The sequence below is a fragment of the Homo sapiens genome, chromosome 17 (assembly GCF_000001405.40).
Source record: "Homo sapiens chromosome 17, GRCh38.p14 Primary Assembly".
Taxonomy (NCBI): domain Eukaryota; kingdom Metazoa; phylum Chordata; class Mammalia; order Primates; family Hominidae; genus Homo; species Homo sapiens.
The window spans coordinates 78541269-78559731 of record NC_000017.11 but is presented as its reverse complement, the minus strand read 5'-3'; the positions used below and the strand labels follow the sequence as shown (position 1 = coordinate 78559731).

At 47.5% G+C, this 18463-nt stretch overlaps 1 protein-coding gene and 1 long non-coding RNA gene across 6 annotated transcripts in view, besides 1 other annotated feature; one reads left to right on the top strand and one right to left on the bottom strand.

Moving 5' to 3' along the window:
- DNAH17 (dynein axonemal heavy chain 17) overlaps positions 1-18463 on the top strand; it is a 153700-nt gene that overhangs the window by 17665 nt on the left and 117572 nt on the right. For all 5 annotated transcript variants that reach the window (XM_024451013.2, NM_173628.4, XM_011525416.3 and 2 more), the window contains exons 14-17: positions 1478-1624; positions 6927-7035; positions 8094-8197; positions 15735-15875. In XM_024451013.2, coding sequence (XP_024306781.1) covers positions 1478-1624; positions 6927-7035; positions 8094-8197; positions 15735-15875 — 501 coding nt within the window. The remainder of the gene's footprint in view (positions 1-1477; positions 1625-6926; positions 7036-8093; positions 8198-15734; positions 15876-18463) is intronic.
- Positions 606-1805: an enhancer, noted in NCBI's record as "BRD4-independent group 4 enhancer chr17:76554009-76555208 (GRCh37/hg19 assembly coordinates)". NCBI's record gives its function as "activates an origin of replication core promoter dependent on BRD2, P300/CBP, MED14 and CDK7 cofactors, and independent of BRD4, by STARR-seq in HCT116 cells {active_cell/tissue: HCT116}" and the evidence as "EXISTENCE:reporter gene assay evidence [ECO:0000049][PMID:35650434]".
- Positions 14558-17274, bottom strand: LOC124904065 (uncharacterized). Its single transcript, XR_007065921.1, has 3 exons — positions 16936-17274; positions 15654-15752; positions 14558-14766 (listed from the first exon to the last, which is right to left on the bottom strand). It is a non-coding gene; the product is annotated as an uncharacterized LOC124904065 (long non-coding RNA).

Sequence of the window (18463 nt, the reverse complement as noted above, 5' to 3'; positions counted from 1 at the left end):
GTTTGAGCAAGATGGCAGCCCCTGCAGGGTGTCAGACAGAGGTGTGCTGCGATTAGATTTCTAGTTGTAAAGGACCCTTCTCCACGCTGTGAGGTGCGTAGATTGAACGGAGCTGGGGCTGGAGGAAAGAGCAGGAAAATCAGTTGGGAGCCTGTTGGCACAGTCCAGGCAAGAGATGACAGCTGGGAGGTGGTGGCTGGAACCAGAGTGGCAGCAGTGAAGGTGGTGGTGAGCTTCTGGACTTGAATATAGTGCCATGGAGACTCCTAGTAGGTTGGAAATGGAGCGTGATTGGAAGAGGGGAGTCAGTCCCAATGTTTTAGGGTCAGGTGAGTAGACAGGTAGAATTGCCATTGGCCAAGAGGGCAGGTGGGGCAGAGGCCACAGGGGAGGATGGGCTGCTGTGCTTTAGCCTTGTTGGGTGTGAGATGTCACCTGGACATCCAAAGAGAGGAGCTGAGTAGGCGGGTGGATACAGAAGGCTGGAAGTCACGAGAGAGGCTGGGGTTGGAGACATAAACGTGGGAGCCACCCACACAGAGATGGTACTTGTAGCCACAACACTGGACATCTCATTACCTCATTCAGCGGAGATGACAAATGGGCTGGCTGGTCAAGGCAGCTATAACGTTGGATGACATCACACCTCATTCAACTGAGGGTAAATTGAGAAGGAACAAGGTCTGTGGCTCCCCATCATGGACATCTTGAGATTATCAAAAGAGACTAATAATGGTGACCAGGAATGTCTAGTGTCCTGGAAGCCAGGAGGACACTGTGTGCCCAGAAGGAAAGAGTGCCAGCGGCTGGGCGATCCCATGAGATGAGGCCCGTGATGTGACCAGTGGATTCAGCAATATGGAGGTTATCTCAACTTTGAGAATAGCTTTGTGGACAGAAGCACTGTTGGAAGGGATGTCCCTGTTGTTGATCTCGGGTCATAACCGGGTGAAAGCAGAGAGAAAACAGAAGGTTAGATTCCAGCGAGGAAACAAGTGAAGACCCGAAGTCTTACTCCAAACCACTTGTGGGTAGTAGGTAGGAGAGGACAGAGATAAGAAAATTAGGATGATGTCAGCCACCCATGGTGATGATGATATCATCCACCTACAATGATGACATCATCCACCCATAAGGATAATGTCACCCACCCGTGGTGATGACAATGATGTCATACACATGCAATGATGATGTCATCCACCCATGAGGGTGATGTCATCCACCCATGAGGGTGATGTCATCCACCCATGAGGGTGATGTCATCCACCCATGAGGGTGATGTCAGTGCTTTCCGGCTCAGGATCAGCCAACAGGGTGAAAACGTCCTGGTCCTGCCAACAAATACTGCCTCCCACCAACTTTGAGATCCCCCCCGGCTGTCAAAACATCCCAGGGCAGATGCTCATTTCTGTTGCTTGAACACTGCACTGTTGACCTGACCTGCTGACATGTTCTTTGATCTTCGTTTGTCATTTAGTTGGTGGCAGTTCTGAGAGAAGTCAAGTATTTGAATTTCCAGCAACAGAAAGAGATTCCAGACAGTGCGGAGAGTCTGTTCTCAGAGAACGAAACTTTCCGGAAGTTTGTGGGCAACCTGGAGCTCATCGTTGGCTGGTATAATGAGGTGAGTTGGTGAGTCGGTACTATTCCTGATGCAGCTTTGTATTGTTTTGGTTTTTTGTCAAGTTTGTTTGTGTGTTTCAGAGATGTGGCTCTTCCTGGGAAATCTTCCCATTCACTCAAATTCATTCTTCCATTCACTGCATACTTACTGAGTACCTGCTATGTGTATGTGCTTGGGATAAATTCCTGAGCCAGGGAGTCAGAGATCTCTGTCCTGCCGTCCTGTTCTGTTCCACTTGGAGATCTTACACCAGCATTTGTTGTCACCCAACAACTTCTGGTGTAAGATCTCCAAGCAGAACAGAATTAAATTAGTGTGTATTTTAATATTTAGACATGGTTCAAGCCAGTCTTCATTATTCATGCAAATAGCAGCAAAGATAGTGATGACTCAGAACAGCTGGTGATGAATATCTTATTCCCACTGGGCTTTGGCTTACGTTACTTTTTTTTTTTTTTTTTTTTTTTTTTTGAGACAGTCTCACTCTGTCACCCAGGCTGGAGTGCAGTGGCACAATCTAGGCTCACTGTAACCTCTGCCTCCCAAGTTCAAGCGATTCTCCTGGCTCAGCCTCCTGAGTAGCTGGGACTACAGGCGTGTACCACCAAGCCCAGCTGGTGGTAGTAAAAATACAAATAATTTTTGTATTTTTAGTAGAGACACAGTTTCACCACATTGGCCAGGCTGGTCTCGAACTCTTGACCTTAGGTGATTTGCCCGCCTCTGCCTCCCAAAGTGTTGGGATTACAGGCATAAGGCCCCAAGCCTGGCCAATTACATGATTCTTTATAGATCTATTTACCCTCCTGAACAAATTTTGGATAATATTAAAGTCATTCAACATTGCTTCCATTACTTCTGTTAATGTGGGGAGGACTGGATGGGCATTTCCTGGAACCCAGAGTAGGATTATCATGAGGAAGCTGTGTGTGAGGGGCTAGGAGGTGGCGGTCCCTGCTCAGCTCTTTGGTTCAAGAACTCCTTTTTGGCCTTGATTCCTGGCACCATCTGATCTAGGGACCTGACGCAGTAATCAAGAGGTTGACTTTGGAAAAACTTCCCAGTAATTGTTGGAGGTGGGGGGCGGTCCCGTCCAGCAACACAGGGCTTGTTGAGGGCACCTCCTTCCTGGCACGAGGCCCTGGAAGCCGAGTCGGGAACCGGAGGGCAATGGTATCATACGTGTTCTGTTTTCTCTGTCTGCTTTCACTCGGTTAATTATTTTGAGTTAATCTATGTTGTTGCATGTAGCACCATTCTTCTTCTTTTTAAACGTGAGTCAATTTTATTGCTGAGTGGCAATGTGTCGCATGGATATAGCACTATTATCCATTCCTCTGTTGATGGGCATTCGGGTTGTTTTCAGTTTTCGCTTTTACAAATAAAGCTGCTACAAACATCCCTGTACAATCAGGAGGGGCCCGGAGAGCGTGGCTGTGGGGCTCAGCGGGCAGTCACTGTGCTTGTCCTCCTTCTAGACACCATTTCTTATGGATTCCACTCATATACCCTGGGAAAGGCGACCATTTGTACCATACAACTTTGACCCCACCCCAAGCCACAGTACAACAGGGCCAGTCTGGACACTGTTCATTTCCTGTTGCTGCTGTAACAAATCACCACAAACTGAGTGACTTTAAACGGCACGTATTTCCTACCTTCTAGTTCTGGAGGTCAGAAGTCCTGGATCTGTTTCATTCTGCTGGAGTCAAGGCATCCGCTGGGCTGCCTCCTTCTGGAGGCTCAAGGGGATGGTCTGTCTCCTTGTCTTTTCCAGCGTCTAGAGGCTGCACCTTCCTGGGCTCATGGCCATTGTATTAGTTAGAGTTCTCCAGAGAAACAGAACCAATGGGATAGACAGATGGGAGGATGGAGGGATGGATGGATAGATAGATCGGTAGCTAGAGAGATAGGAAAGCAGGTAGATGGATGGATAGATTATATAGGTGGATGAATGGATAGATAGCTATAGATGGGGGGGATAGATACAGATGGATGGATGGAGATGGATGGACAGACAGAGATATAGACATGTATATATGGAGATTTATTGTGAGGAATTGCCTCACGCAATTACAGAGGGTAAGAAGTCTTACAGCCTGCTGTCTGCAAGTTGGAAACTCAGGAAAGCAGGTGGTGTTACTCTGAGTCCAAAGCCTGACAACTAGGGGAACAGATGGTGTAAATCCCAGTCCAAAGGCTGAAGATGATGAGATGGCCCAGCTCAGGCCATGAGGCAGAAACAAGGGGTGAATTCCTCCTTCCTCCGCCTTTTGTGCTATTCAGGCCCTCAACGGTTGGATGAGACCCACCCACACTGGGGAGGGCTATCTGCTTTCCTGAGCCCACCCATTCCAATGCTTATCTCATCCAGAAACAACCTCACGCACCTCAGAAACCATGTTTAATCTGGGCACCCTGTGGCACAGTCCTGTTGACAAATTAACCCTCGCGGCCACATTATTTCATGTTCGAAGCACATCACTCCAACTTGTGCTTCCGTCATCACACTGATGCCTTCTCTTTTGACCTTCTTGCCTCTTTTTTTTTTTTTTTTTTTTTTTGTGACGGAATCTTGCTCCTCTCCCCGGCAGCCGTGGCAGGGCTCCCCAGATTCTGATCACCAGGGGCCGTAATATCTTTGTCCATGGTCCATTCATTAGAAACACAGCACCTTTCTCCAGCTGGTTAGATTCTGTCTAAAGAGCTCCCGCCTTGGACTCCAGGTATGGTAGGAGCACCATGATTTAGTCACGAGCACACTAAAGAGGTGTGTTCTGAGATTCTCTCACGTAGGGTGTAGTCTCAGAGCAGGGTTCCTCGACTGGGAAGAGACCACTGTCCTTGTCATTGTTTAACAACCCAACCCTGATGGACGGAATCCTGCTACACATCGTCTTGCTTTGTAATCCTGTAGATGCATCCTTTACTTCTGTCTGGTTTTCAGCCGGTAACAGCTCTTATACTCTATTTCTCTTTCCTAAGCACCTATCCTACGAGTTAATGGTCAGAAAACATTCGAAGGCATGGGTGGAAGTACACTATTTAAAGCACTAAAATGGGCTGGGCGCAGTGGCTCATGCCTGTAATCTCAGCACTTTGGGAGGCCGAGGTGGGTGGATCACTTGAGGTCAGGAGTTCGAGGCCAGCCTGGCCAACGTGCTAATACCCTATCCCTACAAAAAATAAAAAAATTACCTGGGCTTGGTGGTGGGCGCCTGTAGTTCCAGCTACTCAGGAAGCTGAGACAGGAGAATCGCTTGAACCTGGCAGGCGGAGGTTGCAGTGAGCCAAGATCACGCCACTGCACTCCAGCCTGGGTGGCAGAGCGAGACTCCGTCTCAAAAAATAAAGTACCAAAATGTATGTAAAGAATTATTCTGAAAGGCAAATCAGCATCTAGTGTGTATTTTTAACTCTGTGATTCCATACTTCATGTAGAAGGGTCCTAGAGAAGTCATGAAACAAGATGTTGCTTGGTACGATGAGATTCCTAGGCCTAAATGGTGCTTATTATTTAAGGGAATCATGAAAACTTCTCCCTTGTTTGTTCTGTTTTGTAAATTCAGGATTTCAAGCATTAAATTAATTTCTTAGAGTAGGGCAAACTAGAACAAAACTATATAGAACCTATCCTTTTTTTTTTTTTTTTTTTTTTTTTTTTTTTTTTTGAGACAGAGTCTCATTCTATTGTCCAGGCTGGAGTGCAGTGGTGCGATCTTGGCTCACTGCAACCTTCACCTCCTGGGTTCAAGCGATTCTCGCACCTTGGCCTCCCAAGTAGGGATTACAGGTGCACACCACCACACCGGGCTAATTTTTGTATTTTTAGTAGAGACAAGATTTCACCATGTTGGCCAGGCTGGTCTTGAACTCCTGACCTTAAGTGATCTGCCTGCCTCGGCCTCCCAAAGTGAGAAACTATACTATTGTTAACACTGATCCATTAACAACTTGAATAGTTTCTCTGCAGATCCTGGGTTTTCTGTTGTATAACTGAACTTCAGGCTTTAGGCTGGGCACCATGACTCACACCTGTAATCCCAGCACTTTGGGAGACTGAAGTGGGAAGATGGCTGGAGCTCAGGAGTTTGAGACCAGCCTGGGCAACATAGCAAGATCCCATCTCTATATTAAAAAAAAGATTTTGAGCTTTAGATTGACCAGGGAAAGGGTCTGAGCCAAGAAATGCTCAGTGATCCACATGTATTTCTTTGGCTTAGAATCACAAAAAGAAATCAAGTACAAACCTTTGTGATTATATACTGAGGATTTATGTATTAAAAGTAACGGAAAAGATGGCAATTACTTTTACACCAACCTATACACAGTTAATTCTTAATTAGTCATGGTATGGGCTAGAAAGAGATAGGAATACTATAACATAAAACAGTAACCGTACATAAATCCTCAGTGATAAAAGTCATTCTAAAAATTGTGGAGTGTCCTGAAATACGATTTCCAAATAAAAAACAATCATCATTGGCTTTGTTGGTGTATTAGGCTGTTACATTGCTATAAAGAAATACTTGACACCTGGGACTTTGAGAGGCCAAGGTGGGTGGATCATTTGAGGTCAGGAGTTCAAGACCAGCCTGGCCAACATAGTGAAACCCTGCGTCTACTAAAAATACAAAAATTAGCTGGGCATGGTGGCGCATGCCTATAGTCCCAGCTACTGGGGAGGCTGAGGCAGGAGAATTGCTTGAACCCGGGAGGCAGAGATTGCAGTGAGCCAAGATCACGCCACTGTACTCCAGCCTGGGTGACAGAGTGAGACTCCATCTTAAAAAAAAAAAAAAAAAAAAAAAAAAAAAAAAAAAACACAAAAACCTGGGACTGGGTAATTTATAAAGAAAAGAGGTTTAATTAGCTCATGGCTCTGCAGGCTGTACAGGAAGCATAGTGGTTTCTGTTTCTGGGGGGACCTCAGGAAACTTGGAATCATGGTGGAAGGTGAAGGGGAAGCAGGCACATCACTTGGCACAAGCCAGGATCGAGAGAGAAGTGGGGGAGGTGCTACACCTGTTTAAAAAGGAGATTGCACGAGAATTCATTCACTATCCCAAGAACGGCATCGGGGGGTGATGCTACACCATTCATGAGATCATTGTCCCCATGATCCAGTCACCTCCCACCAGGCCCCACCTCCAACACTGGGGATTACAATTCAACATGAGACCTGAGTGGGGACACAGATCCAAACCGTATTAGTTGGTGTTGAGGAATAAAAGGTCCTTACCAGAGAACAATTTAAAATCTGGTTGGACTCGGAACAAAACCTGTCACCTCTGTTTTTCAGATAAAGACTATAGTGAAGGCAGTAGAATTTCTACTAATAAAGTCAGAACTGGAAGCAATTGATGTCAAGTTATTGAGCGCTGAAACGACATTATTCTGGAATGGCGAAGGTACGGAGGCCACATTCCTCCCACATTGGATTAAACTTGGGAGTCCAACCTGCCCAGCATCTGTCCTCAAACACCACTAGAGTGGTCACTTCTGCCTCCTGGCTGTGTGGATCTGCTTTAACTTCAAGGGGGCTAAAGGATAGTTACTTCCACCTGCCTGCCCAGGCAAAAAAAAAAAAAAAAAGCCCATCTGTGTCACTTAGAAACGGAATCCGGCAAAGACTCCCTGGGAACTGCCAAGAGGTTTCCAAGTTTCCCAAACTGGGCTTGCTGGAGGCCCAGTTTCCACTGTTGGTTTATCAAGCATGCACAGAGCATGCACAGCTGGTGAGCAGAGCTGGTGCACATCTTGGCTAACTCAGGGCAGACGTCAGCAAAGTAGGAAGAAGTGTAGTCACGAGTCCCTGTCTTCCCTTCATTCCACCACTGGACGAGGCAGAAGGCCCCCGACCCCCTGGCCCCATCTCTGATGCTCCCAGAGGTGGAACCCTTTAACGTGAGGAGTCTGGGGCTCCTACGTGGGGTGAAGGGTCCACACATTCTCCAAACCCTATGTCCAAAGGGACACTATATTTGTGATTCCTTGGCATTTCATTTCAGAGAACGCCCAGCGATTTCTTCTGGGAATCATGTTCCAGAATAGGAGTATTTTCCCAGGGCTGTCTCATAGTGATGAGTGTTAAGCCAACCCAAGAAAAGTTTTCATCCTGCTGAATTTTTTTTTTTTTTTTCCTGAGATAGAGTCTCACTCTGTTGCCTGGGCTGGAGTACAATGGCACAATCTCGGCTCACTGCAACCTCTGCCTCCCGGGTTCAAGCTATTCTACTGCCTCAGCCTCCCGAGTAGCTGGGATTACAGGTGCCCACTGCTATGCCCAGCTAATTTTTTGTATTTTTAGTAGAGATGGGGTTTCACCATGTTGCCCAGGCTGGTCTCGAACTCCCGACCTCGTGATTCGCCTGCCCTGACCTCCCAAAGGGCTGAGATTACAAGCTTGAGCCACCGCGCCCAGCCTGAATTGTTCATTTTGTAAGATTCCTCTACATTTCCATTTTAGGTGTGTTTCAGTACATTCAAGAGGTGCGAGAAATTCTGCACAACTTGCAGAACAGGATGCAAAAGGCAAAACAAAATATAGAAGGAATTTCCCAGGCTATGAAGGTAAGCAAGGGGCAGAGCACAGAGTGGGGCTTTGTGGGGGCCTGGGGCTGCCCTGGGGCAAACCAGGCTACGTAGAGGCCCATGGAAAGTGCTGCGATGTGTGGGGTGCAGTGGGAGCTGCCGTGCAGTGCTCTCCACCGGTAGGATGATATCAGAGTGGTCCCAGGGCAGAAAGAGCCCAGTTGCTCTGTGAAATTCAGTTCTGCTCCATTCTGCTGAGCTCCACAAGGCCCCCTCTGTGCCAGGCCAGTGCCAGTAGCAAGGGGTGGAAAGAGATCTGCCAAGACTCACCCCCACTGGGAACGAGCCCGTTGCTCAGTACAGAAGCAGTACAGTTCTAACTCAAGCTCCTTCCGGAGCACTGGGGGAATCCTTCATTAGCCTTCTAGGTGGTCTGGTCTGTCACTGATGCTCTAATGTGCAAAAACACTTGCAGCAATATATCCAAAAGGAATTTTGTTTTTGTTTTTGTTTTTTTAGTGGAGATGAGGTTTCACCATGTTGCCCAGGCTGGTCTTGAACTCCTGACCTCAAATGATCCGCCTGTCTCAGCTTCCCAAAGTGCTGGGATTACAGGCGTGAGCCACCGCATCTGGCTCTGATTCAATTTTCAATTGACGGGAATAATTTCTCACGCAATTTCCTCAGAAAGGGCTCATTGATAGCATACTTTGAGTCCTCCCTTGTCCAAAATATCTTTCTTTTGACCTCATCTACAATGATCTTGTCCAGGTCAGGGGTTTCTTGATACGGTCCTTTTCTTTCACTGCTCCAGAAACGGCCCTGTGTGTGTTTGCTAGGGCGGCCATCACAAACTGCCACAGTCTGGGCGACTTCAACAACAGACGTTTCTCTTCTCACAGTTCTGGAGGCTGGAAGGCCAAGGTTAAGGTGTCGGCAGGGTTGGCTCCCCCAGGACTCTCTGGTTAGTTATAGATGCTGTCTTCTCCCTGTGGCTTCACAGGGTCCTCCCTCTGTGTGTCTGTGTCCTCATCTCCTTGTCTCATAAGGACACTGGTCATGCTGGATGAGGGCCCACACTAATGACCTCATATTAACTTAAGCACCTCTTTAAAGCTCTCATCTCCAAATGCCATTGCATTCTGAGGTATGGGTGTCAGGGCCCCTACACACGGATTTGGGGGGCACAGTTCAGCCCCTACCAGCCCTGCCTCAGTTTCAGTGCTGGGCAGGCTGGCAGTGCTCTGCCTCCTTCCTGCATGAGCCTGTCCTCTCTGTCTGGGGCGTGCAGAGTTCTTCGTTATCTTTAGGGTCAGAAAATGTCACCAAAGTGTCCAGACGTGTGCCTCCTTGTGTTAATGTCCGCTGGACGTCGTAACATTCTTCTAGCCTGTTGATGGCGTTGTCTCGCCAGCTAGTGGGCATGACGTCGCTCCTCCTCCTCCCCACGCCTCCCCACACCTCCCTGTCTGCTCTGGCACACAGGCCATTTCCCCAGTGTCTCAGGTCTGGGGGCCAGGTCTCTTGTCTGTCTCTGCACGTGTGGCTTCTCGATCTCTTCACTTTGTTTCATGCCAAGGGGTCTCTGTCCTTTCTGTTACCTGCAATGCTCACCCAGCCTCCTCTGTGGCTGTTCTCTCTCTCTCCTCTACTGAACTGTTAAATCCAGAAACCAGGCCGTTCAAACCCCACGGGCTTCTGAATCTTCAGCAGGGGCCGCAGCAGGTGCAGGGTCTCAGAGGGTTGGCTGCAGGCTCTGGGCGGTGGGGAGCGAGCAGGAGACGGGAGGAGGCCCACTCTGGAGGCAGATCCTGCAGAGATTCCTGCTGCCCCTGAGGCCCCAGCTTGACCACTGCCCACCACCCGCTACAGAGGACCAGGGCAGCACTTTCTCTCTGTCTCTGAGACCCACTGTCTTACATAAACCCCCCTTTACCTGAGCTAGCTTGTTTGCACCAGAAGTTTTTAACTAAACCACAAAGTATTTGCTTTCTCCTGGTGCTGAGCTGAGATGCTGAAGCCCGGTAGTTGGGTCTCTGGGCACCAAGGAAGGAATGATCTGTTTGCCAATTCTGAGGTTGTTGGGTTCAGGGGTGAGTTTTGAAGAAGTTCACCTCTGCATCAGAAAAGCAAAGGTGACCTCCGAGGAGGGAAGGCAAACACTTGGGCCCACTGTCCTGGTCATTTCAGGAGGCTACAAGAAAATACTGCAGACTGAGTTCCTGGTGAGGGCCCTCTTCCTGGTGTGCAGACGGCTGCCTTCTCGATGTGCCTCACGTAGTAGAGAGAGGTTGCTCTGGTGTCTCTTTCTCTGCTTAAAGGACACTAACCTCATCAGGGGTGGGCCCTACTCTCATGATCTCATTATCTCATCTAAACCCAAGCACTTGCCAAGGTCCCTGCCTCCTATTACAACCACACAGGAGCTAGGACTCGAATATGTGAATTTTGGGAGATGAGAGAACACAGACGTGCAGTTCATAACACTCACCCAATAGGGGCTCTGCTAACCCCCATTATAAGGAGAATAATCACTAAACTGGTCACAGAATCAGCTGACCTCCTGTGTCTCCATCCCCATCACTTTCCTCATCACGTCCATTCTGAAGCTGCAGCAGCTGCACAGTGACCAGGCTGAAAGCCAAGGGGCTTGGTGGAGGGGACCAGCATGCTCTGCACTTAGGTGCGGAAGCAGAGCCGGGGAGAACACTGGCTCCCAGGCACATGCCCTCAGATGCCGTCTCAAAACTAGCAAAAACAGACATGACAGCCAGCAGCATCTAGCTCCCCAGCTTAGTGAGAAAACCAAGCAATAGGAAAAGAAAATGGCTCAAACTCAGTCCATCAGGCCTGGAATCAACAATTCCTGTTTGGAGTTTGTACATTCTCAGGCTGTGCCCTTAGCCCTCAGGTGTGAACAGCAAAGGGGTTAGGACCAAAAGGAGGCTGTTCAAAGATTGTGCAGCATTTGAGAGTAACAAGTCGTTTAGATATCTCAGAAAAACACAGACCGACTGAAGCTCTTTATTTAGTAAACCTAAGACATTTTTTCTTAAATTAAAAAGGCCGTGGCCGGGTGCAGTGGCTCATGCGTGTAATCCCAGCACTTTGGGAGGCCGAGGCGGGTGGATCACGAGGTCAGGAGATCGAGACCATCCTGGCTAACACGGTGAAACTCCGTCTCTACTAAAAATACAAAAAATTAGCCAGGTGTAGTGGCGGGCGCCTGTAGTTCCAGCTACTTGGGAGGCTGAGGCAGGAGAATGTTGTGAACCCAGGAGGCGGAGCTTGCAGTGAGCCGAGATCGTGCCACTGCACTCCAGCCTGGGTGACAGAGCAAGACTCTGTCTCCAAAAAAAAAAAAAAAAAAAGGCCATGACATCTACGAAATAACAACAGAATGAGAACTAAGAACAGAATGAGAGGAAAGCAGAGAAGGGAAAGGACATGGCTAAGAAAGTCAAAACTGCAAAAGCAGAATTAAAATATACTGAAGCACCAGTTAGACTAGAACTAGTGCTGTGTAACAGTGGATATATTAAACGGAGGACAATTTTAGGAAATTGCTAATATGCAAAGGGAAATAACAATAGATAATGTGTAAGATGAGGGAGACGAACAACATAAAAATCATAGTTGTTACTAAAGAAGTAATAGGCTGGGCATGGTGGCTCACACCTGTAATCCCAGCACTTTGGGAGGCCAAGGCAGGCCGATCACTTGAGGTCAGGAGTTCAAGACCAGCCTGGCCCACATGGCGAAACCCTGTCTCTACTAAAAATACAAAAAGGAGCCAGGTGTGGTGGCACACACCTATGATCCCAGCTACTAGAGAGGCTGAGGCAGGAGAATTGCTTGAACCTGGGAGGTGGAGGTTGCAGTGAGCTGAGGTCACACCACTGCACTCCAGCCTGGGAGACAGAGTGAGACTCCATCTCAAAAAAAAAAAAAAAAAATAGTAATGAACAAAGATGTAATAGAAGAAAATTTTCTCAAGCTGGGGAGACAAAAATTAAAGGAAGGCCTGAGTGTGGTGGTCAAAGTGGGTAACTGATTTCCAGGCCAGATGACACATGTAGACATATTCTGACCAAAGTTTACAATCCCAAGGATACAGAACAATATTCTGCATGTTTCTACCAAGCAGGTAGCCCACACAGAAACAAAAATCAGGCAGCCTTTTGACTTTACACAGATCTCCAGAACATGATAAAAATGGCCAGTCTTGAGAAAGACTCCTGACAATTATCTGTGAATGCAGCAGTAAAGTCATCCTCACACATGCAGGGGCTTGGAAAAATACCATTTGGATACCCTTCCTGAGAAACCTATTCCAGGATGTATTCCAGGATACCAAGAGGTCAACCACATTCTAGAGTACCAAGGAGAGCATTAACATTTAAAAAGACTAGCAATGAGCTTGGAACCAATTAAATATAAAGAGGTAAGTATATAAAGAGATAAATACGGTTGTAAAAGGTTACATTCCAAAGTCAAAAGCAATACTTGTAGAAAAATATAAATGGTAGAAACCATATCCATGGTGATAAACATGATTGATAATTGGTAGTTAGGAGGAGGAAAAAAGTTGGGGCAGGGAAGTTAACCATATCCTGAATTCCTAAACGTGGATAATGAGAATCAAAAGCAATTTTTTTTTTTCTTTCTTGAGATGGAGTCTTACTCTGTCACCCAGGCTGGAGTACAATGGCACAATCTCGGCTTGCTGCAACCTCCGCCTCTGGGTTCAAGCGATTCTCCTGCTTCAGCCTCCCAAATAGCTGGGATTACAGGCATGGGCCACCATGCCTGGTAAATTTTTGTATTTTTAGTAGAGATGGGGTTTCACCATGTTGTTCAGGCAGGTCTCAAATTCCTGGCCTCAGGTGATCCATCAGCCTTGGCCTGCCAAAGTTCTGAGATTACGGGCATGAATCACCATGCCCAGCTGCAATTTTTATTTCCAAAATTAGAGAAACATTTAAAAGACTTAATAAACTTAATGGCAAGTTCTAGTGGAATTAGAAACAGGATTTCTCCTATCCAAATCAGTAAAGAATATAAAAGCAAATAAGCTATAGTTTTTAAAGCAAAATACCACAACAAAGGGAAACGGTGAGAAAGCAGAAAGGATAAAACGTGATAACAAAGGGCAAACATTAGTTACAGTATATATAAAGTATTTAAAAGCAAAATAGATTGTTTAAAAATGTAGTTATATGCTACTTCCAAGAGATATCTAAAACAAAATGGAAAGGTTGAAGATAAAATGATTGACAAGTAGGTGAAACCATATGAAACTTCCAATAATTGACCATTTTTGACCTTTAAAAGATGGCAGTTCTCACAGCCGAGCTCAATGGCTCATGCCTGTAGTCCAAACACTTTGGGAAGCCCAAGCAGGAGTATTGCTTGAGCCTAGGGCCTTCCTATGTTGCTCAGGCTGGACAACACCTGTGGTCCCAGCTATTCTGGAGGCTGACGTGGGAGGATCACTTTTGAGCCTGGGAGGTCGAGGCTGCAGTGACCTGAGATTGTGCCACTGCCCTCCAGCCTGAGTGACAAAGCACGACCCTGTTTCAAAGGAAAAAAAAAAAAATTTCAAATGGTAGTCTTATTCACAGACATATATACATCCTTGCATACATACATACACATAAAATATTAATCAGCAAAGAACAACTAGAGGCAAAAATATATATTTAGCTAACCATACAAAATCAAGTAAAATCTATATAAAAATTATAGTTGTCCTAAAATGTTGTGTTCCCAATGAGAATATTGTTAATATAGCTATATAAATAAAAGCAAAAGCTATTAGAAGAGTTGAAAAATGGGCAGAACGCAAATGTAATGGGAAGGCTAACACAGCATTATTATACTGCCATGGACTGTACGTTTGTGACTCTCAAACACTCCTTTGTGGAAGCCGTGATCCCTGCTGTGATGGGTCTTGGAGACGTGGCCCTGGGGAGGCAATCAGAACATGAGAATAGAGCCATCACGAAGGAGATTCGTGCCCTTATAGCAACAGACATGAGAGAGCTCACTCTGCCCCTCCGCCATGTGAGGTCACAACAAGAAGGCGGCCATCATCATCTGCCCACCAGGAAGAGAGCCCTCACCTGGAACCAAACATGCCGGCACCTTGATCTCAGATTTCTAACCTCTAAACCTGTGAGAAATGTCTGTTGCTTAAGCCCCCTAGTATATGGTATTTTGCTTATAGTAATCTAAGCTGACTAAGACATATACAGAACGCGTTTTTCTGACCATGAAGCAATAAAACTGCTAATAAAAAAAGGAAATCCTTCTAACAAGGTAAACACAGGCTTAATCATATCGTTTATGTTCACACAAAAGCATCAGTAGAAAAACTATAAGTACTCACGTAAATATCAAACACTGGCCAGAGGAGGGAGGCGGGTGATCTAAGTCTTCATCGTTCACCCCAGAGTCACAGAGGCAGCTGAGAAACAGCTGAATTGATGATGTAGAGTCCGTAAATGATAAGAGTGACAGAGGCAGCCGTGAGGAGGAGGAAAGGTGAGGTTCCCTCATGTTTCCAGTGGGGGATGGGATGGAGGATAGGGAGATATGGCCAAAGACTGTTTTTTGACAAAAAAAACTTATTAGGTGTTTTGTTACCATATATGTATCACTTTAATGGAGATGTGTAGGGAAAAAAAATCTAATGACAGATAACAGTAAAGTCCAAATCATAATTAAAAGTGGCCACCACCCCCACCTTTTTTTTTTTTTTTTTTTTTTTTGAGACTGAGTCTCGCTCTGTGCCCCAGGCTGGAGTGGAGTGGCGTGATCTCGGCTCACTGCAAGCTCTGCCTCCCGGGTTCACGCCATTCTCCTGCCTCAGCCTCCTGGTAGCTGGGACTACAGGTGCCCGCCACCATGCGCGGCTAATTTTTTGTATTTTTAGTAGAGACAGGGTTTCACCGTGTTAGCCAGGATGGTCTCGATCTCCTGACCTCGTGATCCGCCTGCCTCAGCCTCCCAAAGTGCTGGGATTACAGGCATGGGCCACCGCGCCCGGCCAAGTGGCCACCACCCTTGTGGTAGAACTCCCACTTGCAGGGGAGCCAGGGTCCTGACCCTACTCTCTACCCTTTCCCACCCTTGTCGGCAGATCAGTGGCCCCCACAAAAGGGACTTACTCCCACGTGGCCCTCCGTTTGCAGCTATGGACGATCCACCCAGTATTGACCACACACTCCTCGACGCTCGGGTCCTTCCGTCCCCCTAAAGAGAGAATTAGATGCTCCTTTCCTGAGAGTGACCCCATTCTGGCCCAGTTGAGTGAAACATCTCAATGGTCTTTCTGTGGTTCCCCTAGGCCCTGGTTTTGGTTTTGAGCTAAATTATTTAAGGTTCTCTGGTCAACAGTCAATTAGGCACAGGTCCTTAGTAGCCCCTGATGGGCATGGATCGTGGAGAACTAGACTCCAATCCAAGATCAGGCAGCAGTGACGAAACTCACATCAAAAGCACACAGCAAAGGACTGCGACTGAAAGCAGTTTCTCCAGAACACCTTTTCTCACTCCTGTGCTTTCCTTCCAGGACTGGTCGGCCAACCCGCTGTTTGAAAGAAAGGACAATAAGAAAGAGGCCCTGTTAGACTTGGATGGAAGAATTGCCAACCTCAACAAGCGCTACGCAGCAGTCAGGGATGCTGGAGTGAAGATCCAAGCCATGGTTGCAGTAAGGAAACACCCAGGAGGTTTTTTGAGAACCCACTTGCTTTTAGCAGGGAGGAGAGAGTAAACCCAGGGCTGGAGATTTCATAAAAATGATTAGTGACACATTTCTTGTAGTCATAGAAGTCTGTGACCTGGCTGGATGCAGTGGCTCTCACCTGTAATCCCAGCACTCTGGGAGGCTGAGTCGGGCGGATCACCTAATGTCAGGAGATCGAGACCAGCTTGACCAACGTGGTGAAACCCTGCCTTTACTAAAAATACAAAAATTGGCCGGGCGCGGTGGCTCACGCCTGTAATCCCAGCACTTTGGGAGGCCGAGGCGGGTGGATCATGAGGTCAGGAGATCGAGACCATCCTGGCTAACAAGGTGAAACCCCGTCTCTACTAAAAATACAAAAAATTAGCCGGGCGCGGTGGCGGGCGCTTGTAGTCCCAGCTACTTGGGAGGCTGAGGCAGGAGAATGGCGTGAACCCGGGAAGCGGAGCTTGCAGTGAGCCAAGATTGCGCCACTGCAATCCGCAGTCCGGCTTGGGCGACAGAGCGAGACTCCGTCTCAAAAAAAAAAAAAACAAAAATTAACCGGGCACGTTGGCACATGCCTGTAATCCCAGCTACTCGGGAGGCTGAGGCAGGAGAATCGCTTGACCCTGGGAGGCGGAGGTGGCAGTGAACCAAGATCGCACCACTGCACCCCAGCCTGGGTGAAAGAGTGAGACTATCTCAAAACAAAACAAAACAAAACCTATGATCTTTAATCCAAGCGAGCCTTATCTTTAAGTAGTAGACCACCCTTGCTGTACACTTCCAAGCCTGGTTCCTCTTATGATGGGCCTGCCCTCTGCTAAGGGTACCAGAGCCCTCGCCCAGCACAATGTGGGTATGGCCAAGTAACGTCTTCATACTAGGTCAACAAATCTTGTCTTCCCAGGATGAGCTGCCGAGGGTGGGCACCGTGTGTTTATCGGTATCCCCCGTGGATTTCCCATCCATGAGTGTGGGTAGGGAACAGTAACATGGGAAGAGCGAGGACCATTTGAACGTGCACAGGGTGTATCACTACCTGCATATGTGAATGGGTAGAATGTGATAATGCACGCCTGCTTTGCTACCTAGGATGCCAGCTGGTCCTTCTTGCCAGTAGTCCCAACAGCATATGACTCTATGTCCCTACCAGCCTCCTGGGAGCCCCCATGGTTGGCACATTCAGTGGGAGAATGCAGAACAGTAGACTGGCATTCCTGGGTGCTTTGTCTGGAGTCCTGACATTGTATTGTAGGGGTTTTCATATCCTCCTCACTTGGTAGTAATTTCACCCAGCTTGCATTTTAGTTTGTCTCTGAGGAGAATGTGAAAGGTGGAGCTTTGCATTGGCTTGTAAAAGAGAATATTCTCCCTTGAGCTCAAATAACGGCTGGGCGTAGTGGCTCACGCTGGTAGTCCCAGCACTTTGGGAGGCCGAGGTGGGTGGATCACTTGACGTCAGGAGTTTGAGACCAGCCTGGCCAACATGGTGAAACCCTGTCTCTACTAAAAATACAAAAATTAGCCAGGTATAGTGGTAGGAACCTGTAATCCTAGCTACTTGGGAGGCTGAGGCAGGAGAATTGCTTGAACCTGGGAGGCGGAGGTTGCAGTGAACCAAGATTGCACCACTGCATTCCAGCCTGGGCGACAAGAGTGAGACTCCACCTCAGAAAAAAAAAAAAAAAAAAGTATTTTAGGGCAGTTTTTGGGGGGGGCGGTTTCCAGTGGGTGGTGCAAATCAGTGGTGTGGACTTTAATGATGAGTCACATCATCTAGACAGACCAGCAGGCCACACCCGGGGGATGGGCCATTATTGGCTGTTCCTATTGTCACATCATTGCTCTAAAGATCGTCACCCCAGGAAGTGACTTGACTGAACCAGAGTCTGTTGTGCCTCATTCCCAGTTCCCATCCCTCCCCTCCCTGCCACGGTGCCAGTAGCTCCCTCTGAATTAAAATGCTAAACTGCAAAAATGTTACTTGGAAGAGTTAACTGATTAGCTTGTTAACACTCTCAGAAGGGTTGGAAACAGAGCACAGGAGAGAGATTTGACTTAGGGTTAGTAAAGTTTCAGAGGGCAGGAGCATAGCAAGAGGGCAGGCGAGGAGGCAGGACTGGGCTGAGGTTGAAGCCAAGCAGCAGGGACAGGAGCCTAAGAGGGGCAGAGGCAACAAGCCAGCCTATTCTGTTCCCCAACTGTGATGAGATGGTGTTGTCTCTTGTGCACAACTCTGTCACCACGTATGGCTACTCTCATGACAGTCATTAGAGCCATTTCTTTTTATCTTATGCTGAAGTTATTTGAGCCCAAGTCTTCTCTCCCTTATTAGAATAGACCTGCCTGAGGGTATAGACTGAGTGAAATTAATCTTTGAGTTTCCCTATAGCACTTAGTATCCTAGAGATTCATCCATCCATCCAACCATCCACCCATCCATCCATCCATCCATCCACTTACACATCTACCCACCACATTCATCTGTCCACTCATCCACCCACCCTACCCACCCATCCACTCACTCACCCACCCACCCCACCCACCCATCTGCTTGCTTACCCCCC